Source organism: Homo sapiens, chromosome 9, assembly GCF_000001405.40.
Source record: "Homo sapiens chromosome 9, GRCh38.p14 Primary Assembly".
Taxonomy (NCBI): domain Eukaryota; kingdom Metazoa; phylum Chordata; class Mammalia; order Primates; family Hominidae; genus Homo; species Homo sapiens.
Window position 1 is genome coordinate 87496777 of NC_000009.12, and position 14155 is coordinate 87510931.

Below are 14155 nucleotides of genomic sequence, written 5' to 3' on the forward strand. Positions count from 1 at the left end.
CCGTCTCTACTAAAAATACAAAAATTAGCTGGGCATGGTGACGCGCGACTGTAGTCCTAGCTACTGGGGAGGCCGAGGCAGGAGAATCACTTGAACCCTGGAGGTGGAGGTTGCCACGCTCCACTACACTCCAGCCTGGCGACAGAGTGAGACTCCGTCTCAAAAAAAAGAAAGTAAACAGGTGAAATTAATTTTAATAATATATTTTGTTTAACCCAACGTATCCAAAATACTATCATTTGAAAGTGTAATGAATATAAAAATATTCATGAGATATTTTTCATTCTCATATCCATACTGTCTTGGACTCTAATGTGTATTTTACACTTACAGCACAATTAATTTGGGACTAGCTACATTTCAGCTCAACAATAGCCAATAGCATATGGGATAGCGCAAATAAACTCTGCGTCTCTGTTGCTTCTTTGGGTCTCGGAGACCTCAACCCTTTCTTCAGATTGCAAACCTTCTTGCCTTCAAGCCTCGGCTCCAACACCAGTCCGGCAGAGGAACCCAGTCTAATGAGGTACGCTCCCTTCCTGCCATTCTCTATTCCATTAACCTGTTTCGTGGTAAACGTAGGACTGATCCTCCAAAATTACCTTATTAATTAGCTTACATATTTATTATCTATCTGTCCCACCAGAATGCAGGTTTCCGGAAGGCAGGGATTTAAAAAAATCTGTTTTGTTCTATGTGATTTTCCCATACCAAGCACCGTGCCCGGCACAAGCTGGGATCCCAGTACACATCTCGGGACGGAAGAACCGTGTTTCCCTAGAACCCAGTCAGAGGGCAGCTTAGCAATGTGTCACAGGTGGGGCGCCCGCGTTCCGGGCGGACGCACTGGCTCCCCGGCCGGCGTGGGTGTGGGGCGAGTGGGTGTGTGCGGGGTGTGCGCGGTAGAGCGCGCCAGCGAGCCCGGAGCGCGGAGCTGGGAGGAGCAGCGAGCGCCGCGCAGAACCCGCAGCGCCGGCCTGGCAGGGCAGCTCGGAGGTGGGTGGGCCGCGCCGCCAGCCCGCTTGCAGGGTCCCCATTGGCCGCCTGCCGGCCGCCCTCCGCCCAAAAGGCGGCAAGGAGCCGAGAGGCTGCTTCGGAGTGTGAGGAGGACAGCCGGACCGAGCCAACGCCGGGGACTTTGTTCCCTCCGCGGAGGGGACTCGGCAACTCGCAGCGGCAGGGTCTGGGGCCGGCGCCTGGGAGGGATCTGCGCCCCCCACTCACTCCCTAGCTGTGTTCCCGCCGCCGCCCCGGCTAGTCTCCGGCGCTGGCGCCTATGGTCGGCCTCCGACAGCGCTCCGGAGGGACCGGGGGAGCTCCCAGGCGCCCGGGTGAGTAGCCAGGCGCGGCTCCCCGGTCCCCCCGACCCCCGGCGCCAGCTTTTGCTTTCCCAGCCAGGGCGCGGTGGGGTTTGTCCGGGCAGTGCCTCGAGCAACTGGGAAGGCCAAGGCGGAGGGAAACTTGGCTTCGGGGAGAAGTGCGATCGCAGCCGGGAGGCTTCCCCAGCCCCGCGGGCCGGGTGAGAACAGGTGGCGCCGGCCCGACCAGGCGCTTTGTGTCGGGGCGCGAGGATCTGGAGCGAACTGCTGCGCCTCGGTGGGCCGCTCCCTTCCCTCCCTTGCTCCCCCGGGCGGCCGCACGCCGGGTCGGCCGGGTAACGGAGAGGGAGTCGCCAGGAATGTGGCTCTGGGGACTGCCTCGCTCGGGGAAGGGGAGAGGGTGGCCACGGTGTTAGGAGAGGCGCGGGAGCCGAGAGGTGGCGCGGGGGTGCCACCGTTGCCGCAGGCTGGAGAGAGATTGCTCCCAGTGAGGCGCGTACCGTCTGGGCGAGGGCTTCATTCTTCCGCGGCGTCCCTGGAGGTGGGAAAGCTGGGTGGGCATGTGTGCAGAGAAAGGGGAGGCGGGGAGGCCAGTCACTTCCGGAGCCGGTTCTGATCCCAACAGACCGCCCAGCGTTTGGGGACGCCGACCTCGGGGTGCCGTGGTGCCCGGCCCCACGCGCGCGCGGGGCTGAGGGGTCGGGGGCGTCCCTGGCCGCCCAGCTTTAACAAAGGGTGCTCCTCTCCACCCCGCGAGGAGGGGCAGCTCCGGAGACCCGGTCTTCAGCGAGCGGGGTCTTAGCGCCGGGGAGGTCTACTTCCTTTTGGGGTTGCCATTTTACTATTATTATTGCCTTTTTTTTTTCTTCAAAAGGACTGGAGACTGATGCATGAGGGGGCTACGGAGGCGCAGGAGCGGTGGTGATGGTCTGGGAAGCGGAGCTGAAGTGCCCTGGGCTTTGGTGAGGCGTGACAGTTTATCATGACCGTGTTCAGGCAGGAAAACGTGGATGATTACTACGACACCGGCGAGGAACTTGGCAGGTAAAGGGGGTACCAGAAGCGTACCCTCCTGGATTGTGGAAATGCATAACGATGGGGCCATTGGGTGGTAAACAAATGCAGTTTGAATCAGGCGTCTCCCTCGCCCTTTCTGGAGATGCGCAAATCATAGAGAAAAGAGTTACTAACCCAGCGGTAAACCGCCTGATCCAAGGGCCTGGGGGTGGAGGAGAGGCAGCAGTTCAGGGCTAGATTATGATGCACAGTATATTGATCCAGTCCCCTGGACAAAATCAGATTTAATTGTCCGTGCTAACTCTTGTCAGCCCTTGCCCTTCTGTGACAACAGGACAAACACTAAGATTATAATTGCAATTGGAGTTAGCTTTTATGTGTGATTTAAACGGAGGGTACAAACTAATTAATAGGTTTTAAAAATCTTAGTACTTTACCCTCTATCTAAATTTTCAGTGTAATTTGAGCAAGTATTGGTAGGTGGTAAATGGAGACTTGCCAGATGTTGACATTGGGCTTGGATTTTGAAACTTCTTCCAACCAGGAATTTAATTACCTGGTTGGTGTTGGTGGTTGCTTTGGTTTCATTTACAATGTTAAATTTTTAACAAATCAATGAGAGTCTAATATGGCTATCTGGATTCAGAGCATACCTCCATTGCTGTAGCAGCTGTGATTCTCAGTGTAAAATCTTTCAGTTTCTAGGTAAACAAAGAATAGTTTCTTTCGGGGCATCTAAGGGCTGATTGCTGTTTCCTTTGACTGTGTATTAGACAGAGTGTTTTGGGCTCTGGTCAACTTTAGTAGAAAACCTAGTTTTCATACATACATTTAAAACTGAATTTATGGAATTTGACTGTGGTGTATTTACATTGTGAGTGGAGTAGGCAAAAGGATCTTTAAACAAACAAAATATGTATTTACTTATATGTGCATTGAAATATGTATTTTCCCATATACATCTGATGTCCTGATACAAAGCTTCCTTTTTCTCCATGAAAAGGAAATTAAAAAACACCCACATCCTGGATTGCCTAATGAGAATTATGGAAACTAAGCTTAACTAAATTTTTTTAAAAATTCAAATGATAGTGTAGAATTTTTTTAAAAGTTACTGTAACAGAGTATTTCTCTAAATATTTAGTATCGACTGAAAACATAGATGGGGGCCTGTGCTTAGGAAGAGCTCTCTGTATATTGATGATCTGGTGAGTAAATAAGGAAAGCTCTTCAAACATCACATTTCATGGATATGTTTAAGATTAAAGTTTAAGAGTGTGTGGGTGAAATATTTGGTTTAACTGGAATTAAATAACTTTACTGTGGTTTTCAGCAAGATGAGTGGTATTTGGAGTTTTCCTTTGGGACTGGAAGAAAAAAGCAAAAAAATAAATTTTAATTTGATTTGCATAGTGTGGCCTGATCGTTTAAGTGTTGTTAGAAAGAGAGATGACTAAAATTAGTTGAGATTATTATATTATGGATTAAGTATATTGACCTTATTTTCATTATGATTTTTTGGTACCATTATGTGTTATGAGAAAGAAATAGAAAAAGAGGCCTCCCTGTGGTTGGCGAAGGGAGTTTTTGATCTTTATTTCGTGGGCGTGATGATGAGGGGAGGGAGGTGGCTTACTTATTTGTCACTAGCACTTTGATTTGCTCAGTGTACATTTTTGTGTATAACGTTCTCCCCACTGTGCAAGGCAAATTGACAAATTGTTTATTAAATAATTTGTGTGACCTAGGAATTTTAAAGAAATGCTCTGAAAAACTGGAAGTCTGAAGTTTTTAAAAATGAAATGTACAGACTCATCTATCTTGTATAACTGCTATTGTTTTTGCCAAAAAATGAGTGAATGATTGTTTTTTGGAAAATTTTTCAAGTCCTGATTTTATGTCTGCCTTGGATGTAGCCACTTCCTGAAAACAAGTCCTAATGTAAAATGGACATGTAGGAAGATGCTGCTTATATGACATCACGTGTCACTGAGGGAAGATTGGGAGTGGAGGCAGGAGTTTGGTGGCAGGAAAATGGAAATGGGCAGATATGTGGCACAAATGCAAGGTCATTCTAAGCAGTGAATTACTAGTAGACCAGTATCTAAGATTTAAGACTTTACTTGGCCAGGCGAGGTGGCTCACACCTGTAATCCCAGCACTTTTGGGAGGCTGAGGTAGGCAAATCACGAGGTCAGGAGTTCAAGACCAGCCTGGCTAACATAGTGAAACCCTGTCTCTACTAAAAATACAAAAAAAATTATCTAAGATTTAAGACTTTAATTGGCCAGGCGCAGTGGCGCGCGCCTGTAGTCCCAGCTATTTGGGAGGCTGAGGCATGAGAATCGCCTGAACCTGGGAGGCGGAGGTTGCAGTGAATGGAGATCGCGCCACTGCCCTCCAGCCTGGGTGATACAGCGAGACTCTGTCTCAAAAAAAAAAGAAAGAAAAAAAAGACTTTACTTATATATCTTTAGCAGTCATCTAAATAATAACGATTCACTTACCTTATAAATGTAGTGAGACAAAGTACATAGCCAGGAGGAAAGATGGGTTTTTGAAGAAGTAGAGTACAAGTATTATTGTTAATGTTATTTTACTTTTAGGAAAATTGAAAATGTTCGTATTTGTGTGTACTGCCTAAGACTTCTGTAAAAGCTCTCTGTCAACGGTCAGGAACTTTATAGAGTATTGCAACTATTGCAGCAGTCCATCTGCAGCAGTAATAGAGCAGATGGGCCACTGGACAGATACCCTGGTCCAAAACCTGGCTCTGCAACTTGCCAGTTTTCTTGAACAGGCCATTTACCCACTCTGACACTCAGGATTTTCCTCTATGAGAGGTTTAGTGCTTTTTTCATTGCTGTTGTAAAAATAATCTAACTTGTAAAAGTAGTTGATCAGCAGTAGAGAGTTAAACAAATATAGATATTATCTGTAGACTGGCTGAGACATCTGGGTGCCCCAGGCAAGCTAATAACTTGGCCGGCAAGTCAATATTCTTTAAGTTTCTGTTTACCAGCTTTGGGAGGGGATGCCTTATAGGAAAAGGGTCATGGGGAGAAGGGTTGCTGACAGCATTCAGCCTCCACTATGATTCTGAATAATGCAGCCCTGGCCTTGAGCTGGCACACCCTCCAAGCAGAAGCAAGTCCCTGCAGCAGATGCACTTGTTATCTTTAGAAGGGTGCTTGGTGGCCTTCAGTTTTGGCTCCTGGAGGCCCTTTAGGGTCTCACCCTCTGTCCCAGGAGGCGGAACAAAGAACTGCCTCCATGATGTGTAATAGTCTCTGGGAGGAGTTCTTATAAATCTGCTATTATACCGAGGTGTTTTAATGCCCCAGGATGCCCTAGCATCTCTTATCAGTTGGCACCTCGGGCAGCTGCAGGCTGACTTGCCCCATTGTCGGGCTCTAGTTACACCCTTGGCCGTCGTTCAGCCTAACCTGTGAGCCTCCTGGGCACCTCTCTGTGTACACTGCTTTCCTGAGGGACTGGCCTTCTTTCCTATTGCACCATCTGACCTTATATGATCTTAAGACCTAAGTCCTACTTCCTTAATGAATCCTTCCACAATGAGTTTCCCCTTTTAAAGTCAAGTGACTTCTCTGAGACTCTCTTTGTCCATGACCATAGACTGCCCAGTGACATGTTTATCCTGTTTCATGTTTATTAGTCTTGTATTACTCTTTGCAGCCAGCTTGTGAGTTTCTTTGGGGTGTGCCCTGTGGTTTGGAGTTGTTGTGGTCCTTTCTCCCCATGGTGTGCAGGGTTTCATAGACTTCCTGCAAATTGGTATCTATGATCAATATTGGGATTAATGCATGCCTCAATGAGCTAATGCAGTTTGGCAAGTGTAATTTTGAGACCAGAATGGGGATGTAAGATGCAAACGATGATGCTGATGCTGATACTGTTAGAGAGGCAGTGTGCAGTGTGGAAAAACCTGAGAATGCTCATTTGGAAAGTGGGGAGACACCTACCCTGGTAGAGTGTTGTTAGAATTACAGACGTGGCTTTAAACATCTGACATGCAGTCTGTCTTTCTAGTCTACAGGTAGATATGCATTTACTGAACACCTACTAAGTGTGATGTGTCTAAAATATATATATATGTATATGTTTTTTATATATATGTGTGTGTGTATATGTATATATATATATATTTTAGAGACAGGGTCTTACTCTGTTTCCCAGGCTGGAGTGCAGTGGCACAGTCATAGCTCACTGTAACCTTGAACTCCTGGGCTCAAGCAGTCCTCCCACCTTGGCCTTCCAAAGCTCTGAGATTATAGGGCAGAGACACTGTGCCTGGCCTCTAATATATCATTTTTATTATTTTTAATAACCTGTTTTCTCCATCACAGCATTTACCACATTGCATAGTAACTGCTTATTTGATGATCTGCTTTCTCCATGGGGCCATTACCTTGGACTTGCTCCTCACTTTTTATTTCTAATGCCCAGGTTGATGCATGGCACTTAGAAGGCGCTCAGTAAATGCATGCTGTTAGACTAGACTGAGTGGATCAATATATGTAAAGCAACTTGAAAGAATATGTATGTATTAGGGCCTCAACAAATGATGGCTTGTGGTGAAGATGAACACTTAGGATATAATGGCTGCCGCTCATCAAAATAAAAACTGCTCTTGTTTTTGCATTCTTTGTGGCTGAACAGTAATGAGCACAGCAGCCAAAATTTTCAAGCACAAGATCAGTTTTAAACAAAACAAATGAAGTGGAGCATTAAATATTTTACATTGGTTTGGATGGTCATTGGAAGCTAATAATTCAAGTTTAAAACATTCCCCTTTCGGCATAAAATCCATAGGCATTTTAATTGAAGTAAGAAATTGTCATAAGCCCTGGCAGTCCAAGTGCTTCTCTAGACCGGTTTACTGTGGATTGCAGGAGTCAGTCCTATGAATAATGGCAACCCTGTGTGGCTCATAGAAGGGGAGAGACTTTCTGGCATGTTTTTTCTTCAGAAATGGGAACCGCAGGCCACCGGTGGGTTTCTGCATCCTTATAGGACTGTGCTGAATGTGACATTTTTCCTCTTAGCATTTTTGACTCAGAATGCTCTCAGATGTTTCCTCTGATAGGAAAGGGTCCAAAGTTTTAAGAGAGATAAAGTTCAGCTACATAGATTAAAGGCAACGGTTAGTGATTTTAAAAGTGTGTACATTTTAGGAAGGTCTAATAATAATTTTCCAGGATGTGAAGGGAAAGCATGATGGTGTTAGTAAGTGGCAGTTTGGTTGAATGCTTGCTTGCTGGCACTGGGAGTGTGTTGCTGGATTACTAGGGCAGGCATCAAATTTAGGTTCAAGGGGGCCAGGAACAGAGTAGGTGGAGGTGCTTATTGGTCGGGAAGCCAGGGAACATGGAAGCTCACTTCTTGGTCCCCCATGCTCTTTTACCCTCAGCTTGTGTCTCCCCGGCCAATGAGGAAACTGAAGGCCCCATATCATTGGTATATGCCTCTGCAAAGCCATGAAAAACTCATAAGAAACCTACAGAGATGGATGTCCAGATAAATTCCAGTGCACTCATCCCTCGGTATCCATGGCGGATTAGTTCCAGGACCTCTGGGGACACCAGAATCCACAAATGCTGAAGTCCCTTATATAAAATGGCATAGTATTTGCATATAACTGATGTAATCTTCCCATATATCTTAAATCATCTCTAGATTACTTACAATACTTAGTACAATGTAAATGCTAACTAAATAGTAGCATTATAATGTTTAGGGAATAATAACCAGAAAAAAAAGTCTGTATATGTTCAGTACAGATGCAGTTTTTTCCTGAATATTTTTGGTACAAGGTTGGTTGAATCCATGGATGCAGAACCCACAGATCCAGAGGGCTGACTGTAGTTGTATACAGGTGTTATATCAGGAGAGGCAACATTGGCTCTTCCACCTTGTTCTCTTCCCTCCTAGCAGAGTTGTAATCCAGACCACTTCTTTCCAGATGATTAGGGGTGAGGGGCTGAGCTGCTGGATATCTGATATCTGGGAGTGGCATGGTCAAGGTCACATTGCCTGACTCAGCAGGGAAATGTGTTAGGAACTTTCATCCTTCATTCTAGCCAACTGCCATGAGTACCTAACATTTTGTATAAATTAAGTGAATATTATTTTAGTAGAAATTTATTTCTGATTATGAGACAAAGGAAGCCACTCTTCTGACAAGAGGGGAGTGGTTTCCATTGGGGAAGAGTACCCCAGAGAGCTCAGGGACTTTGTTTGTTTGTGTCTTTTTGTTTGTTTGATTTTGTTTTGTTTTTTTGAGACGGAGTCTCACTCTGTTGCCCAGGCTAGAGTGTAGTGGCGTGATCTCGGCTCACTGCAACCTCCGCCCTCTGGGTTCAAGTGATTCTCCTGCCTCAGCCTCCCAAGTAGCTGGGATTACAGGCGCCTGCCACCGTGCCTGGCTTATTTTTTGTATTTTTAGTAGAGACGGGGTTTCACCATCTTGGCCAGGCTGGTCTTGAACTCCTGACCTCGTGAGTCACCCTCCTCGGCCTCCCGAAGTGCTGGGATTACAGGCATGAATCACTGTGCCTGGCCTTTTGCATTTTTGGAGACGAAGTCTTGCTCTGTTGCCCAGGCTAGAGTGCAGTGGGGCGATCTTGGCTCACTGCAACCTCTGCCTCCCCAGTTCAAGTGATTCTCTGTCTCAGCCTCCAAATAGCTGGAATTATAGGCATGCATCACCATACCTGGCTAATTTTTTTATTTTTAGTAGAGGTGGGGTTTCGCCATGTTGGCTAGGCTGGTCTTGAACTCCTGACCTCAAGTGATCCGCCCGTCTCGGCCTCCCAAAGTGCTGGGATTATAAGCGTCAGCCTCTCGCTGTGCCTGGCCGGGACTTTGACCTGGAAGAAGGCTGAGTGACCAGCATTGCCTCCCTTCACATTTTATCCACCTGTGTTTAGACAGGTCAAGTGGCTTTCTCCAGGCAGCTGATTAAAAGGTGGCAAGACATGGACCCAGAACCCAGGGCCAGGCCTATTTCATTATCTGTGCTATTTAGGATTTGGCAGTTTTCCATCTTTGAAAGCCAGATGAAGTTGATATTTAAGAGAGGTGAAGTAGGCAGCCATTTGGCGCCAATTTATTTCAGCATCTGCATGGAGAAAATGGTTAGGGATAAATAGTAGACCCTTCATGGAAGGTTTTCATTTGAAGCCCAGCCAAAGGCAACAGGGTCTGCCCTTTGAGCTCAGAACTTTCGCAGGCCTTAACGACACACTGGGACCTTCTTTCCTTTTCCAAATGGCTTCAGCCTTGCAGTTTGGAATGATGTCAACATGTGGCGTAGTTTTATTCAAGTCCCAAGTTAATGGTTTACCTTTTTAGAAAACTCCAAAAACACTTTCATTGTTATTTAACTTTTGAGTTATGTAATGTCTAAGAGTCTTGTCTCTGACCCGTGCACCTACCTGCCACTGACCAACAGTTTCTCATTTCCTTACGCAACAACTAGTCTGGCTAGCTTAGAGTTGGTGTGTGATTGTTTGAGACTTTATGTGGAAGATAATATTTAATTGTTTTGTTCTGGTTTGTTGGGGTAAATTATACAAATGGAATGCATCCTTTCTCGGCCTTGAAAGAGGTTATATGACAGTACAATTATAATAAATTCAGTGTATGACTTTGGGTACATTCTATTATAAACGAATTTTTTTAAAGGTGCAGTTAGAAGAAGGTGGAAGAAAAAAGAAGTTGACACTCCGATTTTCCACATCATCTAACTAAAATGGATTTAAACTAACTTTCTCTAACTATTAAATCTTTCTTAGGTAAGTACAGTTGTATCCCAGCTCTAGAGTTAATGTGCTGGGTGGGTTTTTACAAATAAAAAATCTAAAACCTAAAATAGTTGTGTTTTATCTTCTGTCCCAATCCAAAACAAAACAAAACAATCATGTGATAGTAACTAATCTCTGGAGATACCTGACAAGCGTGGTCCAATAGTGACGCGGGTTTGTCACTTTGGTCTTTAGGTGACATTGACAGCTGGTGTGGCATATGGATCACACTGTGGTCATTGAAGTATAATGTTGCTTACTTCTGAGAAGTGATCATGGGGCCTTTTTTTTGAGACGGAATTTCGCTCTTGTTGCCCTGGCTGGAATGCAATGGCGCTATCTCGGCTCACTGCAACCTCCGCCTCCTGGGTTCAAGCGATTCTCCTGCCTCAGCCTCCCAAGTAGCTGGGATTACAGGCATGCACCACCACGCCTGGCTAATTTTGTATTTTTAGAGGATTTCTCCATGTTAGTCTGGCTGGTCTTGAACTCCTGACCTCAGGTGATCTGCTCGCCTCAGCCTCCCAAAGTGTTGGGATTACAGGCATGAGCCACCGCATCTGGTGTTCACGGGGCTTTTACCTTATGTACTACCTTTCGATGTTTCAGTTGTGAGCTTGAAAAATTTTATTCAGTAACCTAACATATAATTAGAGATGCCAGAGTGGTGGGGAGGGGAGGGAAGGAGGTTGGGAGAATGTTGTTGATTTTTTTTTTCCCTTTATAAACACATACAACTTTGGACGAAGAACATAATGTTTGAGCAAATGAATGCTTGTAAACTGCCGATCTCTGAAGTGTGAAAAGTTTATATTGATGGCACTTATATTCATAAGCCTGATGGGTTTTGGCTGGGAAATTTGGCTCGAGGTACGGACTTCTTTTGGGACACATTTTATTTTTCTGTCAAAACTGCCTGATTATTCTTATTTAGGAAATATGTGATGAATGAGGCTGGCTGGCAAATATTTTAAGTGCAGTTGATATTATAAATTTTCACCTACAAAAATGAACTACTTTTCATTGTTGAATAGTTATGTCTTAGTTCATTGCTTTTACTTTTGAAACTGTATAAACTTTTCCCTTTTTTTGGAGACGGAGTGTCGCTCTGTCACCCAGACTAGAGTGCAGTGGCATGCTCTTGGCTCGCTGCAACCTCTGCCTCCTGAGTCAAGTGATTCTCCTGCCTCAGCCTCCTGAGTAGCTGGGACTACAGGCACCCGCCACGACGCCCGGCTAATTTTTGTGTTTTTAGTAGAGACGGGGTTTCACCATGATGGCCAGGCTGATCTGGAACTCCTGACCTCAGGTGATCTGCCCTCCTCGGTCTCCCAAAGTACTGGGATTACAGGTGTGAGTCGCCGCACTGGTCCAACTTTTCCTTTTCACCTTAGAAAGATTGTCAGGATTTTTTTTTTTTTTTAAACGGAGTCTTGCTTTGTCGCCCAGGCTGGAGTGCAGTGGCGCGATTTCGGCTCACTGCAACCTCCACCTCCCGGGTTCACGCCATTCTCCTGCCTCAGCCTCCCGAGTAGCTGGGACTACAGGTGCCCGCCACCACACCTGGCTAATTTTTGGTATTTTTAGTAGAGTCAGGGTTTCACCGTGTTAGCCAGGATGGTCTCTATCTCCTGACCTCGTGATCCGCCCACCTCGGCCTCCCAAAGTGCTGGGATTACAGGCGTGAGCCACCGTGCCCGGCCACGATTGTCAGGATTTTTGAGACCTTACTACAACCCCTGACACCTGACCCACAGTATAGAATTTTCCAGGTGAAAAAGACATGTAGAGAAAGTCATCAATGCCATTCTTTTTTTTCCCCATTCATGAAAATGATTAGATTTTCCTTTGAGCTGCCTGTCTGTCTGCCTAGCACCTCATATGTCTATCCAGGACTGGGCTGCCTCAGAGAGGATAGGTACACCTAAAGCAATGCAAGAAAAAAAGTGGCGGAAGGATACCATGGGACAGGCAGAGAGAAGAGGTCAGAATTTAGTGTTGATTCAGTTCCGATATTTCCACCCTCCTTTGAGAAGTTTTTCGAAATTGTTTTGCCTCCTCTGTGTAAAGCTCAATTTTTGAGGCCATCTGTGGTTTATGGGTAAGCAGCAGAAATGTGTGTCTCTGGGAAAGTGATGAAAGGCTGCAACCTTTGGAGTGTAATATTTAATAGACTAGGAATTACAAGCTGTTTGGCTTTATAAAAACAAAGCTACAGGCGCTGCAGGTATACGTATCCTGTAGAGAACAGACTTTTAATGGGTGCTGCTCATGTTGGAGATGCTGAATGGTATATAATACACAGAAGAGCTGTCCTTAGGAATTTGGTAAGGCAAAAAGCGCTAAAAAGTTATTTATTACCTTAAAATAATATTTCATTGGCCTATAAATCAGTATAATTGAAAGCACAGCCTGCCAGCATTTTCTTTTCTTTTTTTTTGAAATGGAGTTTTCCTCTTGTTGCTCAGGCTGGAGTGCAATGGCGCAATCTCAGCTCACCACAACCTCTGCCTCCGGGTTCAAGCGATTCTCCTGCCTCAGCCCCCCGAGTAGCTGGGATTACAGGCATGCACCACCACGCCCCGCTAATTTTATATTTTTAGTAGAGATGGGGTTTCTCCATGTTGGTCAGGCTGGTCTTGAACTCCTGACCTTAGGTGATCCGCCCGCCTCGGCCCCCCACAATGCTGGGATTACAGGCGTGAGCCACCGCGCCCGGCCATCCTGCCAGCGTTTTCTTCTGTGCACTTGGGATGGGAATATAGAAAATTGTCTTCCTAGATATTGGCTTTGCCATTCAAAGTCTCTACAGTCAGTGTGTGAACTGCTGGGAGTGATGCCAGAATCTTTCACAGATTTCATTCCTGGGAGCTCTTCTGGCGTCAGATGATCGCGGTTTCTTTTCCTTCTGCACCACAGCACATGGAGGAGGCCTCTTTCTCACTTGCTCCGTTCCTTTGCCATTCATGGAGGCAGTGGCACCAGTGAGCTCACGGCCAGGCCGCTTTTGCCCTTTTTCTGACTAAGTCACTATAGATGGACTAAACAGAATATATTTACAGTTCGCCCATTTAGAATCGATAAGGGTGTGCCCCAGGCTCCATCGTATATTCCATTACATACAGCCTCAGGCATCCGTTTCAATTGTTTGGGAGAGGAAGTGAATTAGCACAAGTGGAATATCTACAGGATGAAACGTTGTCAGTCTGTGCGTTCCTCCCCACCCCTTCGTTGGCTGGAAGAGATAACGCTTGACACGTATGGAGCAGACAGGGTAATGTCAGCCTCGTGGCCATGGAGAAGCAGGAAGTCCCTTGGTTTTGTTCAGTGTGATTTGGGCATTGAATGAGTAGATCCTGTTTTAAGAATATTACTCATTAATATGAACCATCATTTTGTAGGTCTTTTAGAAGCAACATTCTCTTTAGTGCAGATAATGCTTATCTGCATTGAGAGAAGTTATAATAACCTGGAGAATGAGAAGGAAATACACATGCGAAATGGCCCAGCCGGTTTCTCCTGGCAACCTCTCCAGAGCATGTCCTAGGCTACTCCTCCAGGAAGGCTCCTGCTCTGATTTCCTGTATTCCTTCACGATTTGGAGTAGATAACTGGCCACTTGGCATTCTTATTACAGGGGACTTATGCGTGGGATTATTGGCTTCCCCTGTGGACTGTGAGTTTTCTGAGGGTAGAGAACATGGCCTTTTGTCTCTGGTGTTGGTTGGAATTCAGCTAAGTGCACGGTAAGCCATGTTTATTTCGTTGCCTTATAAAGGTACATATGCAGAAATTAGAACAGTGTTTCAGGGCTTTGGACCCAAATCCCTGTCTCCACAAAACACATTAGCTGTTACTTTGGGAAAGTCACTTGACTTCTGTGAGATTTAGTTTTTCTCATCTGTAAAATGGGGATAGTCATCACGGCTAATTCATAAGGTGGTTGTGAGGATGTCTGTGATATGTATAAAGTGCTTGGCACAGTACTAGGCA

The 14155-nt window shown here is 45.7% G+C and overlaps 1 protein-coding gene across 8 annotated transcripts in view, besides 6 other annotated features; it reads left to right on the top strand.

The window, feature by feature from the left end:
• The window catches only part of DAPK1 (death associated protein kinase 1), a 211407-nt gene continuing 197703 nt past the window's right edge, over positions 452–14155 (top strand). For 3 of the 8 annotated variants that reach the window (NM_004938.4, XM_005251757.5, XM_047422888.1), the window contains exons 1-2: positions 1091–1331; positions 2194–2363. In NM_004938.4, coding sequence (NP_004929.2) covers positions 2302–2363 — 62 coding nt within the window. In that variant the 5' untranslated portion in view covers positions 1091–1331; positions 2194–2301. Of the gene's footprint in view, positions 527–957; positions 1597–1805; positions 1861–2193; positions 2364–14155 lie in introns of those variants that run through there. The other 5 variants (NM_001288731.2, XM_047422887.1, XM_047422886.1 and 2 more) reach the window with 5 other exon arrangements.
• Positions 740–799: a silencer, noted in NCBI's record as "silent region_20000". NCBI's record gives its function as "represses an Ori minimal core promoter by ATAC-STARR-seq in GM12878 lymphoblastoid cells {active_cell/tissue: GM12878}" and the evidence as "EXISTENCE:reporter gene assay evidence [ECO:0000049][PMID:35858748]".
• Positions 820–1169: a silencer, noted in NCBI's record as "silent region_20001". NCBI's record gives its function as "represses an Ori minimal core promoter by ATAC-STARR-seq in GM12878 lymphoblastoid cells {active_cell/tissue: GM12878}" and the evidence as "EXISTENCE:reporter gene assay evidence [ECO:0000049][PMID:35858748]".
• Positions 1440–2197: an enhancer, noted in NCBI's record as "H3K27ac hESC enhancer chr9:90113131-90113888 (GRCh37/hg19 assembly coordinates)". NCBI's record gives its function as "activates a minimal SCP1, AML or CMV promoter by ChIP-STARR-seq in naive H9 embryonic stem cells {active_cell/tissue: H9 hESC(naive)}" and the evidence as "EXISTENCE:reporter gene assay evidence [ECO:0000049][PMID:30033119]".
• Positions 1540–1729: a silencer, noted in NCBI's record as "silent region_20002". NCBI's record gives its function as "represses an Ori minimal core promoter by ATAC-STARR-seq in GM12878 lymphoblastoid cells {active_cell/tissue: GM12878}" and the evidence as "EXISTENCE:reporter gene assay evidence [ECO:0000049][PMID:35858748]".
• Positions 1940–2049: a silencer, noted in NCBI's record as "silent region_20003". NCBI's record gives its function as "represses an Ori minimal core promoter by ATAC-STARR-seq in GM12878 lymphoblastoid cells {active_cell/tissue: GM12878}" and the evidence as "EXISTENCE:reporter gene assay evidence [ECO:0000049][PMID:35858748]".
• Positions 5816–5875: an enhancer, noted in NCBI's record as "active region_28520". NCBI's record gives its function as "activates an Ori minimal core promoter by ATAC-STARR-seq in GM12878 lymphoblastoid cells {active_cell/tissue: GM12878}" and the evidence as "EXISTENCE:reporter gene assay evidence [ECO:0000049][PMID:35858748]".